At 38.0% G+C, this 21870-nt stretch overlaps 1 protein-coding gene across 4 annotated transcripts in view; it reads left to right on the plus strand.

Annotated features, from left to right (window-relative positions):
* The window catches only part of ZFAND3 (zinc finger AN1-type containing 3), a 334898-nt gene that overhangs the window by 231273 nt on the left and 81755 nt on the right, over positions 1-21870 (plus strand). For all 4 annotated transcript variants that reach the window (NM_021943.3, XM_011514790.3, NM_001410904.1 and 1 more), the window contains one exon: positions 10594-10776. In NM_021943.3, coding sequence (NP_068762.1) covers positions 10594-10776 — 183 coding nt within the window. The remainder of the gene's footprint in view (positions 1-10593; positions 10777-21870) is intronic.

Consider the following 21870-nt stretch of genomic DNA (forward strand, 5'->3'; position numbering starts at 1 on the left):
GAAATACTCAGGGAGTATTGAGGGAGTATTTAGGGGTAGGAATAGCCCCTTAAGTCAGGAGCTGCCTTTGTGAATAGAGGGAAGCAAGAACGAATAGGACCAGATTGTAAGAGCATACATAGGTGGGCAAGAGCAGTCCCACCACCGCTCTACCCAGTCCCACCACCTAGGCTTTTCCCAGTCCCACCACCATCCTCTCCCTCAAAAGAGAGGTGCAGTGGGAATTATTTTTTTGTCTTTTCTCCTGTCACATCTGCATGGTAAAATGAAAGGCTAATAGCATTAGGACTGTGGATACAATTATAGAAATAATCAGTGATCTAAAAAGGGGGGTGCTAACCTGCTGTTTTTGCTAATTTATTCCCAAATACTTTTCTACTTTTCTATTCTGTTGTCATTGAAGTCTTTATGGGACATTTAAAGCCTTAGGTCTGGGGTAAAATATTGCAGCCTCCAGCCTCTCCAGCAGTTACGTTCATGCCACTTCTGTGCCATTGGAGTAATTCATGAATGACACTAAGGACTAATGGCTTGAGGGGAAGTCTTTAGATTATACCAAGGATCAACTGTAAACAAAGAGAAGTTTTTTGTTTTGTTTTTAGGCTCCAACTTGCCTATTTTATTTTGTCAGCTTTACCCAGTTTTTCCACAATATGCCAAACCCTATCTGTAATTTTGATGGCTGAACTGTATGTATATATGCGCACACAGCATAAAGTGCATATTTTGTTAGAACTAGATTAATGCCACAATATTCAGAAAACTTCTCCCTGTGTTTTCAAAAAATTGACATATTTTGTGGTTAGACTGAAATGAGGTAAATGTACATGTTATTGTAGTACTAATGGATTGTTAGATATTTGCTGTAATGTTAACAGTTAATTTATGCCCTGTAAATGAATATTGAATATGAAACACTGTTACAGGGAAAACTGTATAGTCTGCACAATAAATGCTGTATAGGAAACAAGCCTTACTCCAAATAATTTTTTTTGCTAGTTCACACCTCTGAGTAGTTGGCTCTATAGGTGTGAAGAATCTAGAGAATGTATAATTTCAGTGATAAACTAGATTATAAAGTAAGTTTAATTGCTGAAAAGAGTAAGCTTTGCCAGCTTCATATATTCTCTTGTTGCCTGTTTTTGCAAGACACATTTCAGGATATGCTTTTGGGAGCCAATCTAATGTTACCTGTATTTGCCTCTCGTAAAAATCTTAAGCTTTGTGATTTAAATCTAAGCAAGCAGGAAGTGACTTGAGAGACCTTGTAAGTCCTGTTAGGACCAGTTATCCATGATGAATAATAAGGAAGAAATTTTTATATGTGTGGGGATAATTTATGAAATCCAAACATCTACTTATTGACAGGGTGCTTAATATTTCTCCTGTAGGTAGGAGCACTCTTGCTTCCTATAAATACATTTTGTAGCAATTTAAAATCCATTTTAAATTGTCTGTAAGAGAATTAATATTTTTCAACTTTGTGTGTTCATCAGTATCCAATACGCTAAATTCAGCAAATTTATATTATGTATTATGTGGCAGGCATTTTGCTAGGGGCTGAGGCACACTGTGAATAAGACATTCATTTATCCAACAAATATTTAATAAAGTACCTTCTATGGGTAATCTTAAGGACTTCCCTTAGGAAGTAGTGCTTATATTAAGAGTTCAAATATGAGTAGGATTTACCAAGGTGAATATGAGGATAAAAAAATCTCCCACGTGTCATGATTAAAGCACTCCATGTTGACCGCCGGGCGTGGTGGCTCACGCCTGTAATCCCAGAGTGATTACAGGCACGAGGCTGAGGCAGGGAGATCATTTGAGATCAGGAGTTCGAGCCTGGCCAACATAGTGAAACCTTGTCTCTACTAAAAACACAAAACTTAGGTGTGGTGGTGCACGCCTGCAATCCCAGCTACTTGGGTGGCCAAAGCAGGAGAATTGCTCGAACCCGGGAGGCGGAGGTTGCAGTAAGCCAAGATCGTGCCACTGCACTCTAGCCTGGGCGACAGCGCAAGACTCCATTTCGAAAAAAAAAAAAAAGAAAAAGAAAAAAAAAATAGCACTTCGTGTTGAGAAAGAGCATGGAGTGTCTGAAAAACCAAGAGCACTGGAGATGGCTAAAGCAAGGAGAGGGAGAGGAGGAGCAGTGGCATCAAATGTGGCTGAAGAAATAGCTAGTAGCTGGTTCTAAGTTCTAAGCCATGGTTAGGATTCTGGATCTGGTTGTGAAGGCAATGAGAGACCATTGAAGGGTTTAGGCAGGGAGGTGATGTTATCAGAATTTGTTTTCTTACAATTTTTTTTTTTTTTTGCAATCATTGTGGTTGCTTTGTGGAGAGTAGATCAGACTGAGCCGAGAGAGGACACAAAGATTTCAATTAAGATGTTATCGAGTCTGGGCATGGTGTCTCATTCCTGTAATCCCAGCACTTTGGAAAGCCAAGGCAGGCAGATTGCTTGAGGCTGGAAGTTCGAGACCAGCTTGGCCATCATGGTGAAACCCTGTCTCTACTAAAAATACAAAAATTAGCCACACGTGGTGTTGCACACTGGTAGTTGCAGCTACTCGGGAGGCTGAGGCATGAGAATCGCTTGAACCGAAGAGGCTTGAACTCAGGATGCCAAGGTTGCAGTGAGCCGAGATTGCACCACTACATTCCAGCCTGGATGGCAGAGTGAGACTCTGTCTCAAAATAAAAAAGATGCTATCAAAGGAATCTTATAGATGATGATGGCTTAGACTACAGTGGTAATGGAGAAATAGATGGATTCAAGAGATATTTAGGAGTTGTAAATGACTAGAATGGTAATTTGGGGGATACAAAATTAAGAAGGGAGAATGTGAAGTTCAAGATAATTCCTGGCTTCTGACTATTCTCTATGTGAATGTTGATATCATCTGATGAGATGGGAGGAAGGGCAGAAGACAAGGTCTATTTTTTTTTTTGAGGTATTACTCAAATTGCAGATTCATGGACATAAATAGGGAACATAGGATAGGAGTCATTTATCATCATTAGGATATATACAGGTAGAGGTGTGTGTGTGTATATTGTATGTATATATTTTTAACTTATTTGAAAGGACATAGGCTGAGCATGGTGGCTTACACCTGTAATCCTGGCACTTTGAGATACCAAGGTGGGAGGATCTCTTGAGCCCAGGAGTTTGAGACCAGCTTGGGCAACATAGTGAGACTCCATCTCTATCAAAAAAAAAAAAAAAAAAAATTTAAGGTAGCTCGGTGTGGTGGTGTGCACCTATAGTCCCAGCTACTCAGGAGGCTGAGGTGGGAGCGTCACTTGGGCCCAGGAAGTCGAGGCTGCAGTGAGCCATGTGTGTGCCACTGCACTCCAGCCTGGGTGACAGAGCGAGACCCTGTCTCAAATTAAAAAAAAAAAAAAAACAAGGAAGCACACAAAAACCGTGCAGTGTTATTCAGTCTGTCTATTCTGAGATCAGTGAAGAGAGTCTGATTTTTTAAATTAATAAAAATAATTTTTGAAAGAGAAAAAAATAATAAAAATAATTTTTTTTAAAAAAGAAGATAGTCTGATTTTTAAAGAGAAGGAATCGCCATGAGAGGTTGGGTGAGAATCTGATAGGTAAAGGCGTTTTGCTTTTGCTTTTTAAAGAAGCTAGAAGATAATATTCATGAAAGGACACCTAAGTAAACTTAGCCACATTCAATAGCTCACAAGTCCACATAAGCTACAACATATGCATAAGGTGATAAGGTTTTCATAGTAACCAAGTCCATAAGTGCATTGGTTCTTGCTAACTCCTGTTTAAACAGTTTATTCTTGCTGAGGCTGTTAACCCAGATTAACATCCAACTACCAGAATTTTATTAAGATTTTAATCAGAAGGCTAGAAGTCTGGTTTATGAATTGGCTGGCTACTAATGGCTTTGTAGCTTTTTAAAATAAGATATTTAAGTTTTGCGGTTGAGATGGGGGTGGGGGACAATGCAGCTTTAGAAAACTAGAAATGTTTCTATGAACGGAAGCTGTAGCCTATTATGGACATAAATTGGGTGGAGAGGGGATGGTGAGCAGAACCCTGTTCTGTTAAAGGAGACCTTTATACAGTGCCTTATATGAACCAAACTCTTGAGATATGGGAAATGAATTTTTATTTTTAAGTGGATTGAGAAACAAAAACCCCTGGCAACCTTTTCCATTTTTTAAAATTTGACTACTTGAAACATGAAGTATTTTATGGTGTGAAATACCAAACTAAAGCTTCTGGTGGGTGCATGGATTTGTAATCTGTGATTTATAGTCAGATGGGGTTTGGAGACTGAGAATGGAAATGTGGGAACCAGCAGTGTACCCTGTGCAGGCTGTGAGCTGTTAACATTTTGGGAAGCTGGGAAGTGGTTGCTTCAGTGGTGCATGCTGTAGTGGGAAGAGCACAAACATTAAGAGTCAAATAAAGCTGAGTCTCAAACCCTAGCTCTAGCATTTGTTAAGGAGGGAGCAGGTTTGCCCAGTTTATTTTGAGGGCTAAATGAGAAAATGAATGCAAAGCCCCTGGCAGAGTGCTTGACTCACAGGAGGCGCTTAATTCTTAGTTCCTCTTCTACTTCGAATTTGGTTTCCTATATACCCAACTTTAGTGTCTACAATAAAGATAGAAGCCTTATTAGTGAGCCCAAGTAGTCCTAATGAGTAAGTTGGAACAAGTGCAGTTGAATTTCTCATCTCTACTTACTGATTATGAAATTAGAAATTCACAGGTATTAAGCACTTTATCTTTTAGAAATGCCGACCCACATGATGCTAAGAGTACCCTTAAAGACACACAAAACAGTTTATGAAAGGTTTAAAGTAACAATTGATAAATACTTTTAAATGTAATCCAGTGATGGACTTTCTGCAGGAAAGCATTGGCCACTTATTTATCCAGTTAATGTTTATTGAGAACCATTTTTTGTCCTGGATCCTGAATAATGTAGGAGACTGACAAGTGAACGGATGATTCTTATATACCATAGTAAGTCTTGTGCTATGGGAAATCACAGAGTGCTGTGCCAATAGAATTTGATAATACGTACCAAATGCTGTAAAAATGTACGTCCTCTCTTACCAGTTGATATACTTCTATGATATAACTTAAGGAAGCTCAATGAAATCTTGTTTATAATAGTGAAAAGTTGGTAAATGAAAACGTGTAACACTAGTGGATTGGTTTAGTTCATGTATCTATAAATGAATGAGACCACGTACTCATTAGTGATCACCCATTTATATTTGACAAAGAAGAAACAGTCATGATTCCTTGCTAAGAGGAAAAAAATAGGTTATGGAACAGGGTTAAAAAGAATTAATTTGTTTTCAATGAGAGAAAAAGTTTAGCAAAATTACCGAAATTCTTTCTAAATATTTTGAAGAAATCATTCTGAAAGACGTATTATTGTAATAATCTAGAAGTGGGATTGGGGGTCTAAGCATCTTGCCAAATCAGCATTGTACATCTGAAAGATAAACAATGGGGCATGTGCATATCAAAGGGAGTATTGCATAGTGGCTAGATAGGGTGTAGTTCTAGAGAGACTGCCCAGGTTAATGGGCTTGTGAAGCAGGACAGGACAAAGTGCTTTCACAGTGCTCCCAGTATTTTAAGTGCATTTTGTAGTAAGAAGATTGACGTGTGAAAAATCATTCTGAAAACAGTGGAGAAAACTATGCCAGTGAGTATGTGGGTAGCCAGTCCCTGGGACTTCACTTTGCTAGCACCATTAGGTCACTTTATCTTCTGGAGACATTCCATTTCTGGGTACTAAAGGTTTCAAGCATATCTTTGTTGAGAAATTATTTTTCCCCTTAGATGATAATAAGGTAAGTTGCCAAGATTTGGGCTGCTGTTCACTCTTAACAGTATTCCCATTAAAGTGCAAACGTTTTTAAATTCAGTTTTTACAAGTAACAGTTTGCTTTGGAAAAGCTTTATTCACATAAACCTCTCTCAGGCTGACAACTTTATTCAAGACAAGTTTAAGACCTTTGGATATACCATTAACTAACTTATAAAATTAGTTATTCCTAAGTTTTTTTCTCATTTAGAGAGGTGGGTAAGCTTGGAGACTTCTAGTTTTCTCATTTATATGAGAATTATAAAATATATCAAGGGAACAGACCTTCACTGTGTCTGAATCAGATGCAGTGGCTGTTTCTGGACCTTTCATCTGCACTGCTCTCCAGTGTAGAATGATGGGAGGCAGGCTCTGTGCCTCATATTTTGTTGTTTACTTCTTTACATGTAATATAAATCTGTTCCCCTTCATTTTCAGAGTAGACTTCTGAGAGTTTCTTTCTTTTTGGCAGTAATCAGAAGTTGGATGCTGGGTGGTTCAGAAAGAAAGGCCTAAGAGAATAAGAACTGTGATGCAAATATCAGGGCCAAAATGAAGAGATAACTCTTACTTAGTGCCCCTTTCTTTAAGTTAGGAAAATACCTTTTCTTTTTAATTCTGTCATTTGTTAAGTACTCATGTGCTAGGTTCTTCATGTACATTATCTTATTTAATCCACATTTTCCTGAGAGGTATAAATAACCACCTCCCTTTGTTTTACAGAAGGCCTCAAAAGATTAAAGAATTTGCTTTTAGCTATATGCCCAGTAAATAGCCAGGTCAGGATTTGAATCCACGTCGTCACTCTAAAGCTCTTTGTATTGCACAGACTTTGGCATGGAAGTTAGAAAATTCTAACTCAGTTTCTGGTGAGTTGTAGTAATTTTCTCAGCTCTTGCATTCTCTATCTGTAAAATGAGAGGATTGAGCTGAATTTTTAAAGCCATTACAGGTTGTAACATTCTGTGATTCCTGGATTCTTTTTCAGATTCAAGTAGAGAATATATAGAGCTTCTACTCCTCTCTTTGTGAGCAGCCAGTTGGGTTTGTATGTTAGCCAAATGATGTTATGACACCATCACCCTGTGCAGGTGTAGAAAAGGCATAGAAGGAGTATGGGTTAAAAGAAGGTACACTGTGTCAACTGCTGATTCCTAAAAGAAAACCTGAAGTTTTTGAACTGCCAGTTCACAAAAGAGAACTTGAAAGTACCTGAGCATCAAAGTAGCATGGCAAGCATGGGCTGGAGAGTGTGTGGGTGGGACCTGGTATTCATAATTGTCTTTAGATACCAACATCCTTCACCTTCAAAGGCTTATTGTGCCTGAGTGAGTAAGTTTCTGTGTGTGCATCTGTCTCCAGGCATTGGGGATTATGCTAGATGGTACAGTGATGACTCAGTTTCAGTTCTTTCAGGATCATATAACATTTCCAATTAAATGGTAGACAGATGGTTATGGGAGGGACACAATGATTATTGACATAGGAGAGCTAATGAGATTACATGACATAAAAAAGAAGTATCATTATTGCAGTATTTTTATTCCATTGATATAGTACCTGTTTCTTGAAGGTGCTATACAAATAACACTGAGATAATAAGCCATTTTTAAATGTCAAAACATGGAAGAACAAGAAAGTGGCTAGGAGAAATAAATACACAGAAAAGAAGCAGTGGGGGCTTTAGAGCACTGATCACCTTAGCAGTTACTAACTGGCTACATTCATTGCACTCACTAGTGGTGCTGGAAATGGCTGGGGGCTTGACATGGAGGTCTCTTTCTTGGGCCATCTTGGTGATCACAGTGCCACATCCTGTGGTTGTGATTGAAGACCATGGGCTTTGTTGTCAAATGGACCTGTCCTTGCTACTTATTAGCTGTTAACTTAGAAAAAATTACCTAAACTTTCTGAACCTCAATTTCTTTATCATTAAAATGATGTTATTTATACCTTCCTTGTTAGGGTTTTCCTGATGATTAACATAAATACGTTATACACATAAAACATTTAGTTCAGTGCCTGGCACATAATAAACGCATCATAAATGCTAGCTATTCTTACGCTGAGAATATGTCAAAAGGTAATGATTCTGATGAAGTTATAGAGTATGATAGCAACACTTCCCTCTGGTTCGAATGCTATGTCAAGTTGTAAGAATCTTGTACTTCTCTGAATTGATATAATAAACTATAATCTGTACTTCATAGAGTAGCGTTAGATTTTTAAAATATATAGAGAATAAAGACAATAATCACACTCAGATACCTACCAACAGCTTAAGAAATAAAAAATTACAGAACAAGATAGAAGACCCGTTTTTCTCCTTATCCCTTGGCCTCAAAGAGATAATCACTGTCCGAAATCTGGTATATTATTTCCTTGAATGTTTTTATCTTGTAATTATTATCATTCATGTATCCATAAACAATATGCGGTATTCTTAACATATTTTAAATTTTTATATAAGTATTATTATACCGTGTATATCTTTCTGTAGCTCACTTGCTTTTCTCTCTCAACATTCTTTTTGAGATTTTTCTATTATACTTGTAGCCTTATTCATTTAATCACTGTAGAGCATTTTAAGATCAATTTTCTGTTAATGGACATTACCTGTCTTTGGATATTTTTGTGTGCCTCTCACCATCATACCACCCTCCCTCAATCTGAGATTTAACTGCTATTCTGAATTACGCTAATATTCAGGGGCTTTGAAAAGGTTTAAGGCCACAGGCGCTGTGGCTCACACCTGTAATCCCAGCACTTTGGGAGACTGAGGCGGGCAGATCACCTGAGGCCAGGAGTTGGAGACCAGCCTGGCCAACATGATGAAACTCTGTCTCTACAAAAATACAAAAATTAGCCGGGTGTGGTGGTACACGTCTGTAATCCCAGCTACTCGGGGGCTGAGGCAGGAGAATTGCTTGAGCCTGGGAGACGGAGGTTGCAGTGAGCCGAGATCATGCCACTGCACTTCAGCCTGGCCAACAGAGTGAGACTCTGTCTCAAGAAAAAAAGAAAATAATTCATTCTCTAATTGTTGGATACTTGGTCTTTGTATGCTTATTAATTATTTTGTGTGAGCGTTACATTAAAATCGTCCCCTGTAGGAAATTTGTCAGTTTCTCATCAATATAACCATTTTTGGTTTAAGTACAGTTGGCCCTTGAACAACACAAGTTTGAACTTTGTATCCCTGCTTATATGAAGCTTTTCAACCAAACCCAGATTGAAAATACGGGATGCTAAACCTGTGTATATGGAGGACCAGTATTTAATATACGCTGGTTCAGTAGGGCTGACTGTGGAACCTGAGTATATGCGGGAGTTCTGAAACCAGTCCCCTGTGTATACTAAGGGACGACAGTATTTTGTGGCTTTGGAGAAGCCTCTTTTACTATTTTATAATGATCCTCTTCACCTCTAATAATACTTTTGACTTAAAGTGTACATATTCTGACAGTACTCTAGCCATAGTAGCTTTCTGTTCATCCTCTCCTCTCCCCTCCCGTTTTTCTTTTTCTTTCCTTTTCCTTTCTTGGTTCTTTTTTTTCCTCTTCTCCTCTCCCTCTCCCCCTCCCCTCCCTTTTCTCCTCTCTCTGCTTTCTCTGTTCCTGTCCTGTCCTGTCCTCCCTTCCCCTTGCCCTGCCCTTTCCCCTTCCCTTTCCCCCTCTTTCTTTCTTACTCCTGGACTCAAGAGATACTCCCAAGTAGCTGAGACTACAAGTGTGCACCACCACCCTCAGCTCATTTTTTAAAACTTTTAGAGATGAGGTCTTGCTGTGTTGCCCATGTTCGTCTCAAACTTCAGGCCTCAAGCAGTCCTCCCGCCTCAGTCTTCAAAAATGCTAAGATTATAGGCGTGAGCTACTGTGCCCTGCCTGTTCATTTATATTTATTTGCCAGGTACATTTTTTTTTATATACGATTGTGTTATACTTGGGAGATTGGCTACAGGACTCCCCTGCATATACCAAAATCTGTGCATACTCAGGTTCATCAGTCTGCACTGCAGAACCATCGTATATGGAAAGTAGGCCTTCCATATATGATTTTTGCATCCCGTGAATATTGTATTTTTGATCTGCATTTGGTTGAAAAAAATCCACGTGCAAGTGGACCCACACGGTTCAAACCCATGATGTTCAAGGATTAACTATACTTTAACATTTTGTTTATCCTCTCATATTTATGTTTTTAGTATGTCCCTTGTAAATTGAATACAACTGGACTTCATTTAGTCCAAATATTCTGCCTTTTAGCTGATAAGTTCAGTCTGTTTACATTTATTACCATTACTGACATATTTGTACTTATTTCTACCATCTTATTATGTGTTTTCTGTTTACTCTGCTGTTTTCTCTGCTGCCTTTTTCCTTATGACCTTTCCTTCTGAAAAGTTTGAAAAACTATTCTTTATTCCCTTTTTCCTTCTGATTACCCTTAAATTTTTAACATGCGTCTTTGGCTTTGCACAGAATGTTAAAATCAGTATGTTTGCATTCTTCTGAATAATAAGGGACCTTGGAAAACTTTTAACTCTAGTACCTTCCACTAATCTTAAACGTTTTTGACCAGTGTTTTACTCCCATGGTTTTTTAGTCACCCAGATCAGTCTTTATTATTGGTGTTGTTGCATTTAATTTTTGTACCAACTTCCATTGTTTTCTAATCCTCAGAGACTGTGAACTCCTTAATTAAGCTCGTTTTCTATTTTTCTTCAGATTTTCAAAAGAAACAGCCAGACGATGATTCCGCTCCAAGTACAAGTAACAGCCAATCAGATTTGTTTTCCGAAGAGACCACCAGTGACAACAACAATACCTCGATAACCACGCCAACTCTTAGTCCCAGCCAGCAGCCGCTTCCGACAGAACTGAATGTAACTTCACCGAGTAAAGAGGAGTGTAAGTGTCTGGCTTCTGAGGGGTGGTAGAGAGAGCAGCTTAAGAACTTTAGATGAGCATCTTGGTAATGCCTGACCCCAGAAAAAACAGCACTTCTTTTAATTCAAGATAAGTGTCCACATACAAGGCCCAAGCTCAGCAAGTTAGAGAATAAGTTTCAGCCATTCCTGAAGAAATAGCCTTTTATACCGTCAAAGTACATGAAGTTTGAACCAGTCTAGAGAGCAGTGGCTCTCACCTATGTCTGCACATTAGAATCCACTGGGGGTTTTTAAAACAATTTTAATCTTTAGCACCATTCCCTCGTTCTCATTTAATTGATCTGGAGGGAGGCCCAGGGATCTGTTATTTTTAACTCCGCAGAGGATTTCTAATATGCAGCAAGGGACCAGTAAGGGATTCTAACCCTAAAACCCTAATTTAGGAGCCTTAGATTGAAGCTTTACCTCTGTCACTAACTGGGCCTTGACTGTTTCTAAGCATTTAACTGAGATAGCACTATACTTCATAGAACATAGGATGTTTAAAGGAAGGAGGAGATGGTATTACTCTTCTGTAAGTCTTCAGTGTTGGAATGCTATTATGTAGGTTAGAAGTTCACTGTCTACTTAATTTCTTTTTTTTTTTTTTAGATACTCACTCTGTTGCCCAGGCTGGAGTGCGGTTGTACCATCTCAGCTGACTGCAACCTCTACCTCCTGGGTTCAAGTGATTCTCCTGCCTCAGCCTCCTGAGTAGCTGGCATTACAGGTGCCTGCCACCATGCCTGGCTAATTAGTAGAAACAGGATCTCACCATGTTGGCCAAGCTGGTCTCGAACTCCTGACCTCAAATGATCTAACCACCTTGGTCTCCCAAAGTACTGGGATTACAGGCATGAGCCACCATGCCCAGCCCATTGTCTGCTTAATTTTTATAATGTCATAATATACATCTCTTTCCCTCCATCCCCCATCCCTGGCGGTATGTGAGATATACATCTCTTTTAGGGCACAAATATAGTTGATAGTATTTGTTGAAAATTATAGGGATATTATGACATAGTAGTTTTTGCCTTTTAAAAGCTCTACTTGGCCAAGCCAGGAGGATTGCTTGAGGCCAGGAATTTGAGACCAGCCTAGACAACATGGTGAGACTCTTGTCTCTACCAAAAAAAAAAAAAAATTAGCCAGGCGTGGTGGTGTGTGTTTATGGTCCCAGCTACTTGGGAAGCTGAGGCAGGAGGATCTCTTGAGCCCAGGAGTTCAGGGTTACAGTGGACTGTGGTCTTAACCATTACACTGCAGCCTTGTGAGACCTGGCCTTTTTTTTCTTTGAAAGCTAAGTTGAAATTTAGTATTTCAAGTTTCATGAATATCTAGAAACACAGTAGGTTAGAATGTTCTGTGTTCTGTATACTAACTTTGGAAAGGTTAGCAGAAAACAAATATTTATCTAAATCTGTCATAAACTGCTATATTTGGTAATATCGAGAATATAAAATAAGCAAGGTCATAGTCTTTGTCCTCAAAGAATTTGAAGGGGAAATTAAATATATTTGTTGTAGTTTATCAGTGGTTATCAACCAAGAGTGATCTCCCACCCCACAGCCCCAGAACATTTGATAATGTCTGGAGACCAGGAATGCTGCTAAATGTCCTGCATCACATAGGACAGTCCTCTGCAACAAAAAATCATTCAGCTCACGATACCAGTAATGATGAGCTTGACAAACCCTGATACATGTTTGCATACACCCATGTTGGTCCTTATGTATTAAAGACAGCAACTGTTGAAGGGCATTGACCTACTGAGGAAGTGGTGGTAAAGATGGATAGAAGGTGGTGAAGAGACATACTAGACAGAGTAGAATGAGCTGTGGAAGGAAAGCTGCATGGAGTTTCTCAATGGCAAATGACTGTCTTAGGGCCATTTGTGGAAGAGAATGAAAGACAAGGCTGGAAGGGTAAGTTGTGGCCAAGACATAGAGGCTAAATGTCCAGCTAAGCTATTTGGACTTGAGACAGTAGCCATGTTTTTGAGCAGAGGAGGTGATATTATTACAGTTCTTTGGAGAAGTAACCTTGGTTGTATTGAAAATGGAAAGGATTAAACAGGAATAACATTGCAAAGAAAGAATTTTTTAAATATTATAACTTATTGAATAGAGGCCAAGGTGTAGAAATCATATAAGAGGAGAAAAAAAAAAACGGTGAAAATGGTAGTGGTCATGCTAAGGCAGTAGATTTTGTTTTGTTTTAAAAAATCTTTTCAAGATCATGTACTTACTGAGGAGTTGATGACAGCTGTGGCCTCTTGTCCTAGAAAAATATACACCATCCATTTATACCCAATTTTGCATAAAATTTCTCTACAGCTTATTATGGCCCTTGGGTTAAGAACTCCTGGTCTAAGGAAAAAGTTGGTCAGGATCTCATCTGATGGAAACTGGATTGGATTCGTGCATACCAGGATCGGGCCACCACAAATCAATTCAAGCCACCAAAATGCATGTGAGGCTGAGATAACAGTAGCTACCATTTATTGAGCACTTTGTATATGAGACATTATTCTACATGCATATTTTCTCATTGTTTTTCGTGATAACCCAATGAGGTAGATAGTGTCATTATACTCATTCCATAGATGAGGAATTAGACACAAAAAGATTAAGTAATTTGCCTGTGGTCACAAACGAGTAGATACCAGAACCAGGATTCAAATTTAGGCATTTGGCTTCAGAGTTCATACTTTTAATCAGTTAATTCACAATGTGAAATACAACTGTCATAGAGAATAATATTTGTGTGGGCAAGAGGAATGCTTTCTCTCCCTGTCATTAAGATATGTGGAAATCCACATCATAACCAAGAGTTACTTGCCAGTTTAGGCCACTGTAGACTGCTATGGGCTTTTTTTTTTTTTTTTTTTTAATATGAATACCTTCAGCCTGATTAAAGATGTCTAGTTCTACTAGCTTCGTTTCCTTTCTCTCTCTTCTTGGTGACATCATTGCTTTGAACCATTGTATGTTTCTCTTAGACTTATACTCTCTGAAGCTAATCTCTTTCCTAATTCCTCAAGTTTCTACAGATCTAGGGAAATGAGATTTGCCAGTTGGAGATATGGTGATGACTTAAGTTTGTATTGTGTGCAACTGGGCAGGTTGAGTTGGAGCTCAGAGGAGTGAAGTCAAGATTGGCTTCATCCACATGGAGATGATAGTTTAAGCCATAGGTGTTAAGTGAGGTTGCCAAGAGTGAGAGCAAAGAAAAGCAGGGAGGGCTGGGCACATGGCTCACGCCTGTAATCCCAGCATTTTGGGAGGCCGATGCGAGCAGATCACAAGGTGAAGAGATCAAGACCATCCTGGCCAACCTGGTGAAACCCCGTCTCTACAAAAATACAAAAATTAGCCGAGCATGGTAGTGCGCACCTGTAGTCCCAGCTACTCGGGAGGCTGAGGCAGGGGAATCGCTTGAACCCGGGAGGTGAGGTTGCAGTGAGCCGAGATCACTCCACTGCACTCCAGCCTGGCGACAGAGTGGGACTCTGTCTCACAAAAAAAAAAAAGAAAGAAAAGAAAAGCAGTGAGGATAAACCTGTGAGTGAAACTTCTGCACTTAAGGAGCAAAAAGGATAGAGGAGGCAACTGAAGAAGTCAGGAGGAGAATGATAGTGGGCAAGGTCACAAAAGCCAAAGAACGAATTTCAGTTTAGATAATAATAATGTTAGCTCACATTTATGAAACATTTGCTATATTCTAGACATTCTTCAAAGTTCTTTAGATGCGGTAACATTTAATTTTCAATATAGCCTATTAGGGTAGGTGCTTTTATTATACTTGTTTTTACAGATGAGGACATTAAAACTTAGAGAGGTTCATTAACTTTCTGCCCTAAGTTATAGAGCTATTGCAAGGCAGTGAAGCCCATGCTCTTAACACATGAATTTGGATCTAGAGCCTATGCTTTCAGTCACTATAAGATATTGTCACAATATTATGAAAATGCTACCGAGGCTGTAAACTGACAAAGAGGCACTTGGATTTGGTGATCATAAGAGGGATTACCTAAATAAACTATTTAATAAACTGTTTCAGTGGTTTGTATATTCATTTAGCAGTCTTTGCTGAGTGTCTGCTGTATGTTAGACACTAAGTTAAGTGCTGAGTATAGAAATGAGTAAGATTAGGTCTTTATAAATAAGGAGGTCACCTTTTTGACTACATATGTCTCTCCCTGGGAGTCTGGCTTGTTCTCCCCAACAGGTGCATAAGAATTTTGGGGTGGAAGGGGGGAAGTAGCTAGTAGTGGTTAACAGGCATGTCATTTGCAAAGCTTTTTCAGGTCAGCTTTGCTCCCTCACCTAGGTTGAAAGCAGCTGTGCTAGAGTGAGGAAGATGTGTGCCAGATTTGGGGGTTGAGAATATGGCGTAAGAAAAGTACCTTGAGTTTGTTAAGAGCTGTCAGGGTGGATGCTTTAAAAATCAATGGGAGATAAAGTGATTGCCTAGTAGCAGTGAAGACCCAAGTGAGACACTAAACAGCCTGATCCATCTACATCTTGCAAATTTTTTAAGCTGTGATCTACCAAGGTGACAAAGGATGGCGGAAGAGGCAGCAGGAGATTGCCTATGTTGATATTTTAGTATCCTCAAGGGACCAGAATTTCATCTGTGGGTTCCTTCTTAGCTTCTCCTGAAGAGATGTGGAGAAGTAAGATGTAGCAGTTGTTGGAAAATGAATTTGGGATGCCAAATCCAAGTACCGTGAAATTTGTAAACTATTTAGTAGTTATGGATCCATTGTTATTGCATAGAGCTAGAAGTGCTACATTTTGTTTGGGGCTTGTGGAAGGTTTTATTATTTTTTTTCCTAATGTACAAGAAAACAGATGTTGCTTAAATCTACTTTCACCTTCTTACTATCAACATGAACTTGAACTATGAACATATCAACAGAAAGTGGTGAGAGTCTGGGTACATTTTCTTTTGAAAAGACTGCAGATAGAGCAATAACTATTGACAAAAGTATGTAAAACTTAGAAACAGGACTAATTTTTACCCAAAAGAATTTCTTAATACGCTTCCCTGCAGGTAAATGAAGCAGGTATCTAAAAGCTCTTAAGTGATATTTCTGTATCTGAACATAAACATATGTCTCCCTGTCCCAAACTGTGTGTGTCTGCAGAAGAGTCCATGGAGCTTAGCCGTTGGAAGCCTTTTCCAAAAATATGTAAACAAAATTCAAATAGTGACTAAAGGACTTGTTACAGCATTTAAATGCGATAGTAATGGTAACGGCTCACAACAAGTATCCTTGCTAAGTACCAGGCACTGTTCCAAGTACCTTATATGCACAATCATCCCTCATTATACACAGGGGATTCGGCGCATACTCAAGTCTCACAGTCAGCCCTGTGGAACCCACTTAGTGAAAAGTTGGCCCTCCATATATGTGGGCAATACTTATTTTCCATCTGTATTTGGTTGAAAAAAATGTGCATCTAAATGGACCCACACAGTTCAAACTGCTCTTGTTCAAGGATCAACTGTATTAACTTACTTCATCTTCATAATTACCCTGTAAGGCAGGTACTTCTATTTTATCCATTTCACAGGTGTGAAGATGGAGGCACAGGATGATTATCTTGCCCAAGATCACAGAGCACTCTGGCTCCAAGGGCCTGGGTCTCTGCCACCACACCATAGCTGCCATTCTCTATCATGATTTACGATCTAAAGGACATTGCATGCAAATTAGGCTATACAGTGGAAGGTGTGTTGGACAAACTCTTAAAAAGAATAAAACATTTCTTTCTGCTTTTGCTACTGCCTATTTACTGTTCTCCCAGTTTTTAGATTTTTTCTGAGGGAGATAAAGTGTGATTTGTAGTTAAGTTTTTTGACCCAACTTTTGCAGAGAGAAAGGATAATGCCAGGTTGTAGTTAGAACGCTGGAATCAGTTGTTTTGTTGTTCTCAAGTACAGGCAGATGATTGCTCACAAGATGAGGAAGTGCCCTCTTAGCTCTTTATACAAGTCAGCTTTTCTGTTGTTATGCTTTTAAAGGCCTGAGCATCCCTATTTATGACCTGTTTGGTAACATGATGTGCATGTCTACCTGAGTTTTTGGATTTTTCTTCCCAGTCCCACTAGCATATTGAATGGAAATGGAGGTGTTTGGGGGGTCATGGCTGGTCTGTCTCTTTCTAGGCAGGAGAGGAAGAGAACTGATACCTGCTGCTAGGGAGGATTAATGGCAAGAAATGGACTTGTTTTCAAATAGTCTGATATTCTAAACTAGCAGTTAGAGAGTACCTATCTCATACAAAACAGTCTTCTAAGCTCTGTGGAGGTACATACTAAGAATTAAACAGCAACCAGCTCTTACATAAAACTATAGTTTACAACAGGGGTTGACAAGCTATAGCCTACAGGCCAAATCCAGCCTATCATCTGTTTTTATGCTGCCCACAAGCTAAGAATGATTTTTATTCTTTTAAACAACTGAAAAAAATCAAATAAATATTTTGTGAAATGTGGGAAATACATGAAATTCCAAATTCAGTGTTTATAAGTAAAGTTTGATTGGAACACAGCCCCACTCATTTGTTACTGTATTGTCTGTGGCTGCTTCTGTGCTACAATAGCAGAGTTGGGTAGTTGCTGTGGAGACCCAATGGCCTATTACAGAAAAAGTTTGCAAAACCCTGTTTTACAGAGTTCTTTGATACACATGTTCCTAGAATCATCTTGACAGTGTGCAGCATAGGTAGGGCAAATATTCTCCTTCCTATTCTATAGATGAAAAAGGGAGGTTTAGATAGTGACCCTCCTTAAGTCCCAAGAGAGGGCCACAACTGAACTCTGGGCCTTTTGCATCTATAATACGGGACTCTGGTTTTTTTCCTGCTCTTGTCTACTGCATCCACCCAAGACATACTTTTGTTGTAGTAAAATAAAATATACAGAAAAAGTGAGAACCATATTAACTGGCATGTTAGTGAGGATTTTTAATGACTAAAGCTTCGTTTCCAGGTGCTGACTGGATTTTCCTTTAATATGACACTGATTCCCAAAATAGAAATTTCAGAACGTACTCCACCTCTGGTTAAATTAATTTGGTTGAACACAGATTTCCATTGTTTCCTTGGAAACTGGTTTCTGGTGATATCGTAGCTCCCTCAGGGATATTTAAAAAATGGTAGTGCCTTTTAACAGATGTCCTTGCTAGACTGCCCCGGGTCTTTGAACATCCATTGGGCGTCATTGGCTACATATCTTCATTTCTGTCTGACAAGCCTTAATCTGTTCCCTGGAAATTTAGTATCACTGCCACCAAGCGGCTAAACTTCTGATTTGTTTGTTTTTACCAATTAAATTTCTAATAATCTCTAAATGAAACCAGTGTTCCCTTTTTCAGACTATGCCTACTTCAGGAGGCCAGATATTGGGCAAAACAGGCTGGTTTCTTCTAGTAAAGCATTTAGAAAATATTGCCTATTAAAAAATATTTTATGACTTCCTGCTGGGCTGGTTTTAAGTGAAATATGGTGGGGAGATTTATTTACAGTTCTCTGTGTGTGTGTCTTTCTCTTTGCTTTTCTCTAATGAAGCTCAAAGCATCAGGCCATTTATCAGAGATAATTATACAACAGATGGAGTTTTTCCGATATATAATAGTCTCAAAGTGGAAGATTCTTTCCCATAATGAAGAATGCCCAAACTTTAAATGTCTCTTTTGATTTTAATTTAACGGTGTTTTTTTCCCCAGTGCATTTATTCATTCATCCCAAAGCTGGTTCTGCAAAGCATGCTGCTTTTATTAGGGCTGTGTTCTGAAAAGATTGATACTTTGCAGTACAGTATAATAATGTACAGTTATATGCTATATTGAAGTGAAGAGCCATAATTTATCAAAAATCAATGTGTGAGATCATTAAGTTAATCTCTGTCAAAATACAGGAGTTGAGCAGTTCAGCAGTGTTTTCTTATAGAAATTCTTTCTGTTCCATAATGTCAGTTGGATAGGAACTTGTTTAAGTACTGGTAGTATCATCTGACCTTCCATTTGTAGTCAAAATAAGAACCAGATTAAAGCAAAACCATGATTTTTAAGTTATTCATTTTCTGGCTTGCTTTTCTTTTTCAAAACTTTTAATCCTATTTTTAAGTATGCAAGTAAAACATGACTACATTCTCAATTTTTGAATTACAAAGACACAGGTTTAGATAGAATAGAACATGAAAATATTCTAACGTCACCACCATCAATCACCACCACCCAATTCCTACTTTTTACAGAAATAACCGCTGTTTATTCATTATGGGTTGTATTTTTTCTATGCAGCTGTGTACATGTTTACATACAAGATTTTATCTTGGCTGGGTGCTGTGGCTTGCGCCTGTAATCCCAGCACTTTGGGAGGCTGAGGTGGGCAGATCACCAGGTCAGGAGTTCAAGACTAACCTGGTCAACATGGTGAAACCCCCACCTCTACTAAAAATACAAAAATTAGCCTGGCATGGTGTCAGGCCCCTGTAATTCCAGCTACTCGGGGGGCTGAGGCAGGAGAATCGCTTGAACCCGAGAGGCGAAGGTTGCAGTGAGCCGAGATCACTCTAGCCTGGGCAACAAGAATGAAACTTAGTCTAAAAAAAAAAAAAAAAGATTTTATTTTTATATAAATGACAGCATACTGTATATATTGTTTTATAACTGCTTTTTAACTTAATATATTTTAGAGCTCTTTCCAAGTCTACACATGGAGATCTGCCTTACTCCTGCATAATATTCTATATTGCCCTTACTATCCTTTTCTCTACTCTCTTCTCTGGAGGTTGTTTTTAATATTTCACTATTATGAGCCATGTCAAGTAAACAGTTTTGTACGTGGCTAATGGTGCATATGTTATTTTTCCATGATAAATACATAGAAGAGGAACTAACAAGTCAGAGAATATGTATATTTAAAATTTTGATTTGCATGGCAATATTACCTTCCAAAATGACTGTATGACTTTATATTCCTAAGAATGATGTTTGAGAGTGATTGTTTACCACAGCATTACCAATATTAGGTGGGTTTTTTCTTTGTTTCTTCTTCTTTTTTTTTAATAAGTTGGGCAAAAGAATAGCTCATTTTAACTTGTGTTTTCCAGACATCTCCTGATAGTGAGATTCAGCATTGTTTTATGTGTTTATTAGCAATTTATAAGTCTCCAGTGATTTGCCTATCAGTGTTGTTCTTTGCTTATTTATTTTTTATTAGCTATTTTTTTCTTACTGATTTGTAGGAATTCTTTTATATATATATATATATGTAACAAATTCTGGATAAGTATTTGTTACATATATGTAAAAAAAGAATTCTAGATAAGTATTTGTTACATATATTGCCAGTTTCTTTTGGTATGTTACTTGGCTTTTAATTTTCATTTGAGTGCCTTGTATTCATTAGAATTTTTTAAACTTTAAGTCTGTTGGTCTTTTGTCTTCCAGTTTTCTGTCTTTCTTAGAAGGCTGTCTGAATCGTAGAGTTATAAAAATATTTTTCTATGTACATTTAATACTTTCATGGTTTATCTTTTTCTATCGTTAGCTCTTGAGCCCATCTGGAATTTATTTTGTATTTAAGGCATAGAGATTTACCTTTATTTTTTTTTCCCAAGTGGATAACCAGTTATGCAAAAACCATTCATTGAATAGTCCTAGTTTAAAATGCTAATACTATTACATAAAGACATAGATCTGTTCCTAGGCTCTTTATTTTGTTTTATTGGTCAACCTGTATATTTCTGAAACTGGAATATACCTTTATAGTATGTATCAGTAGCTTCTGATTTGGATTATATTGAATATATAGATTTTTTTCAGAATAATTGACATTTTAATAAACTTTTGGGTCTTCTCATAAAGGAATATAGTTTGTCTTTATTTATTCAAACCTTCTTCTATGTTCTTGGCAAGAGAATGTCATCTCTCTGCACAAGTTTAGAGACTAAGCACCAAATTAGCAGAGGCTTTATTTTATGCTACTTTGCTCTGTCCCAGAACACCTAGCACACTGCTGGCATAGTACTCAATAAATGGTTAGTGATTTAAATATTTAGGAAAAGTTTTGTTTTTAATTTTTCTTACTTTTAGAAACCTACTTTATGTGTTTTGATACATTAAAGAAGGGACTTCTCATTGCCTGTACCTGATTTTTGAATAGCTACTTAATTTTTTAAAATAATTTTCTGTACCATACAGTAACCCCAAGACAAAGCAACTCAAAAAAAGGCAGTGTCCCTACCAGATTTTGAAAATTTGGATGCTTTGTGGTGGTAACAATTCATCTCAGACTTTTGGAATAATGAGAGTCATTTTCTGTTTCTCTCTCTCTCTCTCTCTCTCTCTGTCTCTGTCTCTGTCTTCAGTACAAATAGGCACTTGCCTGTTGTAAAATAACCATTTTTGCTCGTTGGTATTTATCACCTAAATTTCCCTCTTGAAGATTCCCACTTGCAAGAGAGAATACTAGCAAGCTTTTAATACTCATTTTCAAAAGTCCCTTAAGAAGTCTGCAGATCTGAAAGGTTAGTTTCCCAAAAGATTACCTCAGTCACTTGTGAGATTATACAGTTACTGATATTCAAACTAGATTTTCAAGCAACATCATCACTGTCCCCCCTGCCCCCAATATGGATTTCTTTAAATGTTCGTATTAAATTAAATGCTCTGTCCTTCTCTGTGAAAGTAAAGGTCATGTAAACAACCACACTTCACACAGCTTTAGCTCTTGCACTCGTCATATTTTTATTTTGTGTAGGTACAAGTAATATGTGACACTGTGCTGATTTTAAATTAAATCTAAGCTTTATTTATGACAAAAATGTTTGGCTGAAAAAAAAACATAATGGCATTTATGTGAATGTGTTGAAGCAGCCATTTTAAGCTTACATAAATATATTTTAATTGTGCTTGTGAACTTCTTTCTGAAAATTCAGAGCTGCCAATGCCAAAAAATGACTATGTAACTGTACATTTTGTATTCATGGCCTCTGTTACTTTATAAACCATCTCACTTTTTGATCCATCAAAAAGATGATTCTTTAGATTTAATAA

This window comes from Homo sapiens, chromosome 6 (assembly GCF_000001405.40).
Source record: "Homo sapiens chromosome 6, GRCh38.p14 Primary Assembly".
Lineage (NCBI taxonomy): Eukaryota > Metazoa > Chordata > Mammalia > Primates > Hominidae > Homo > Homo sapiens.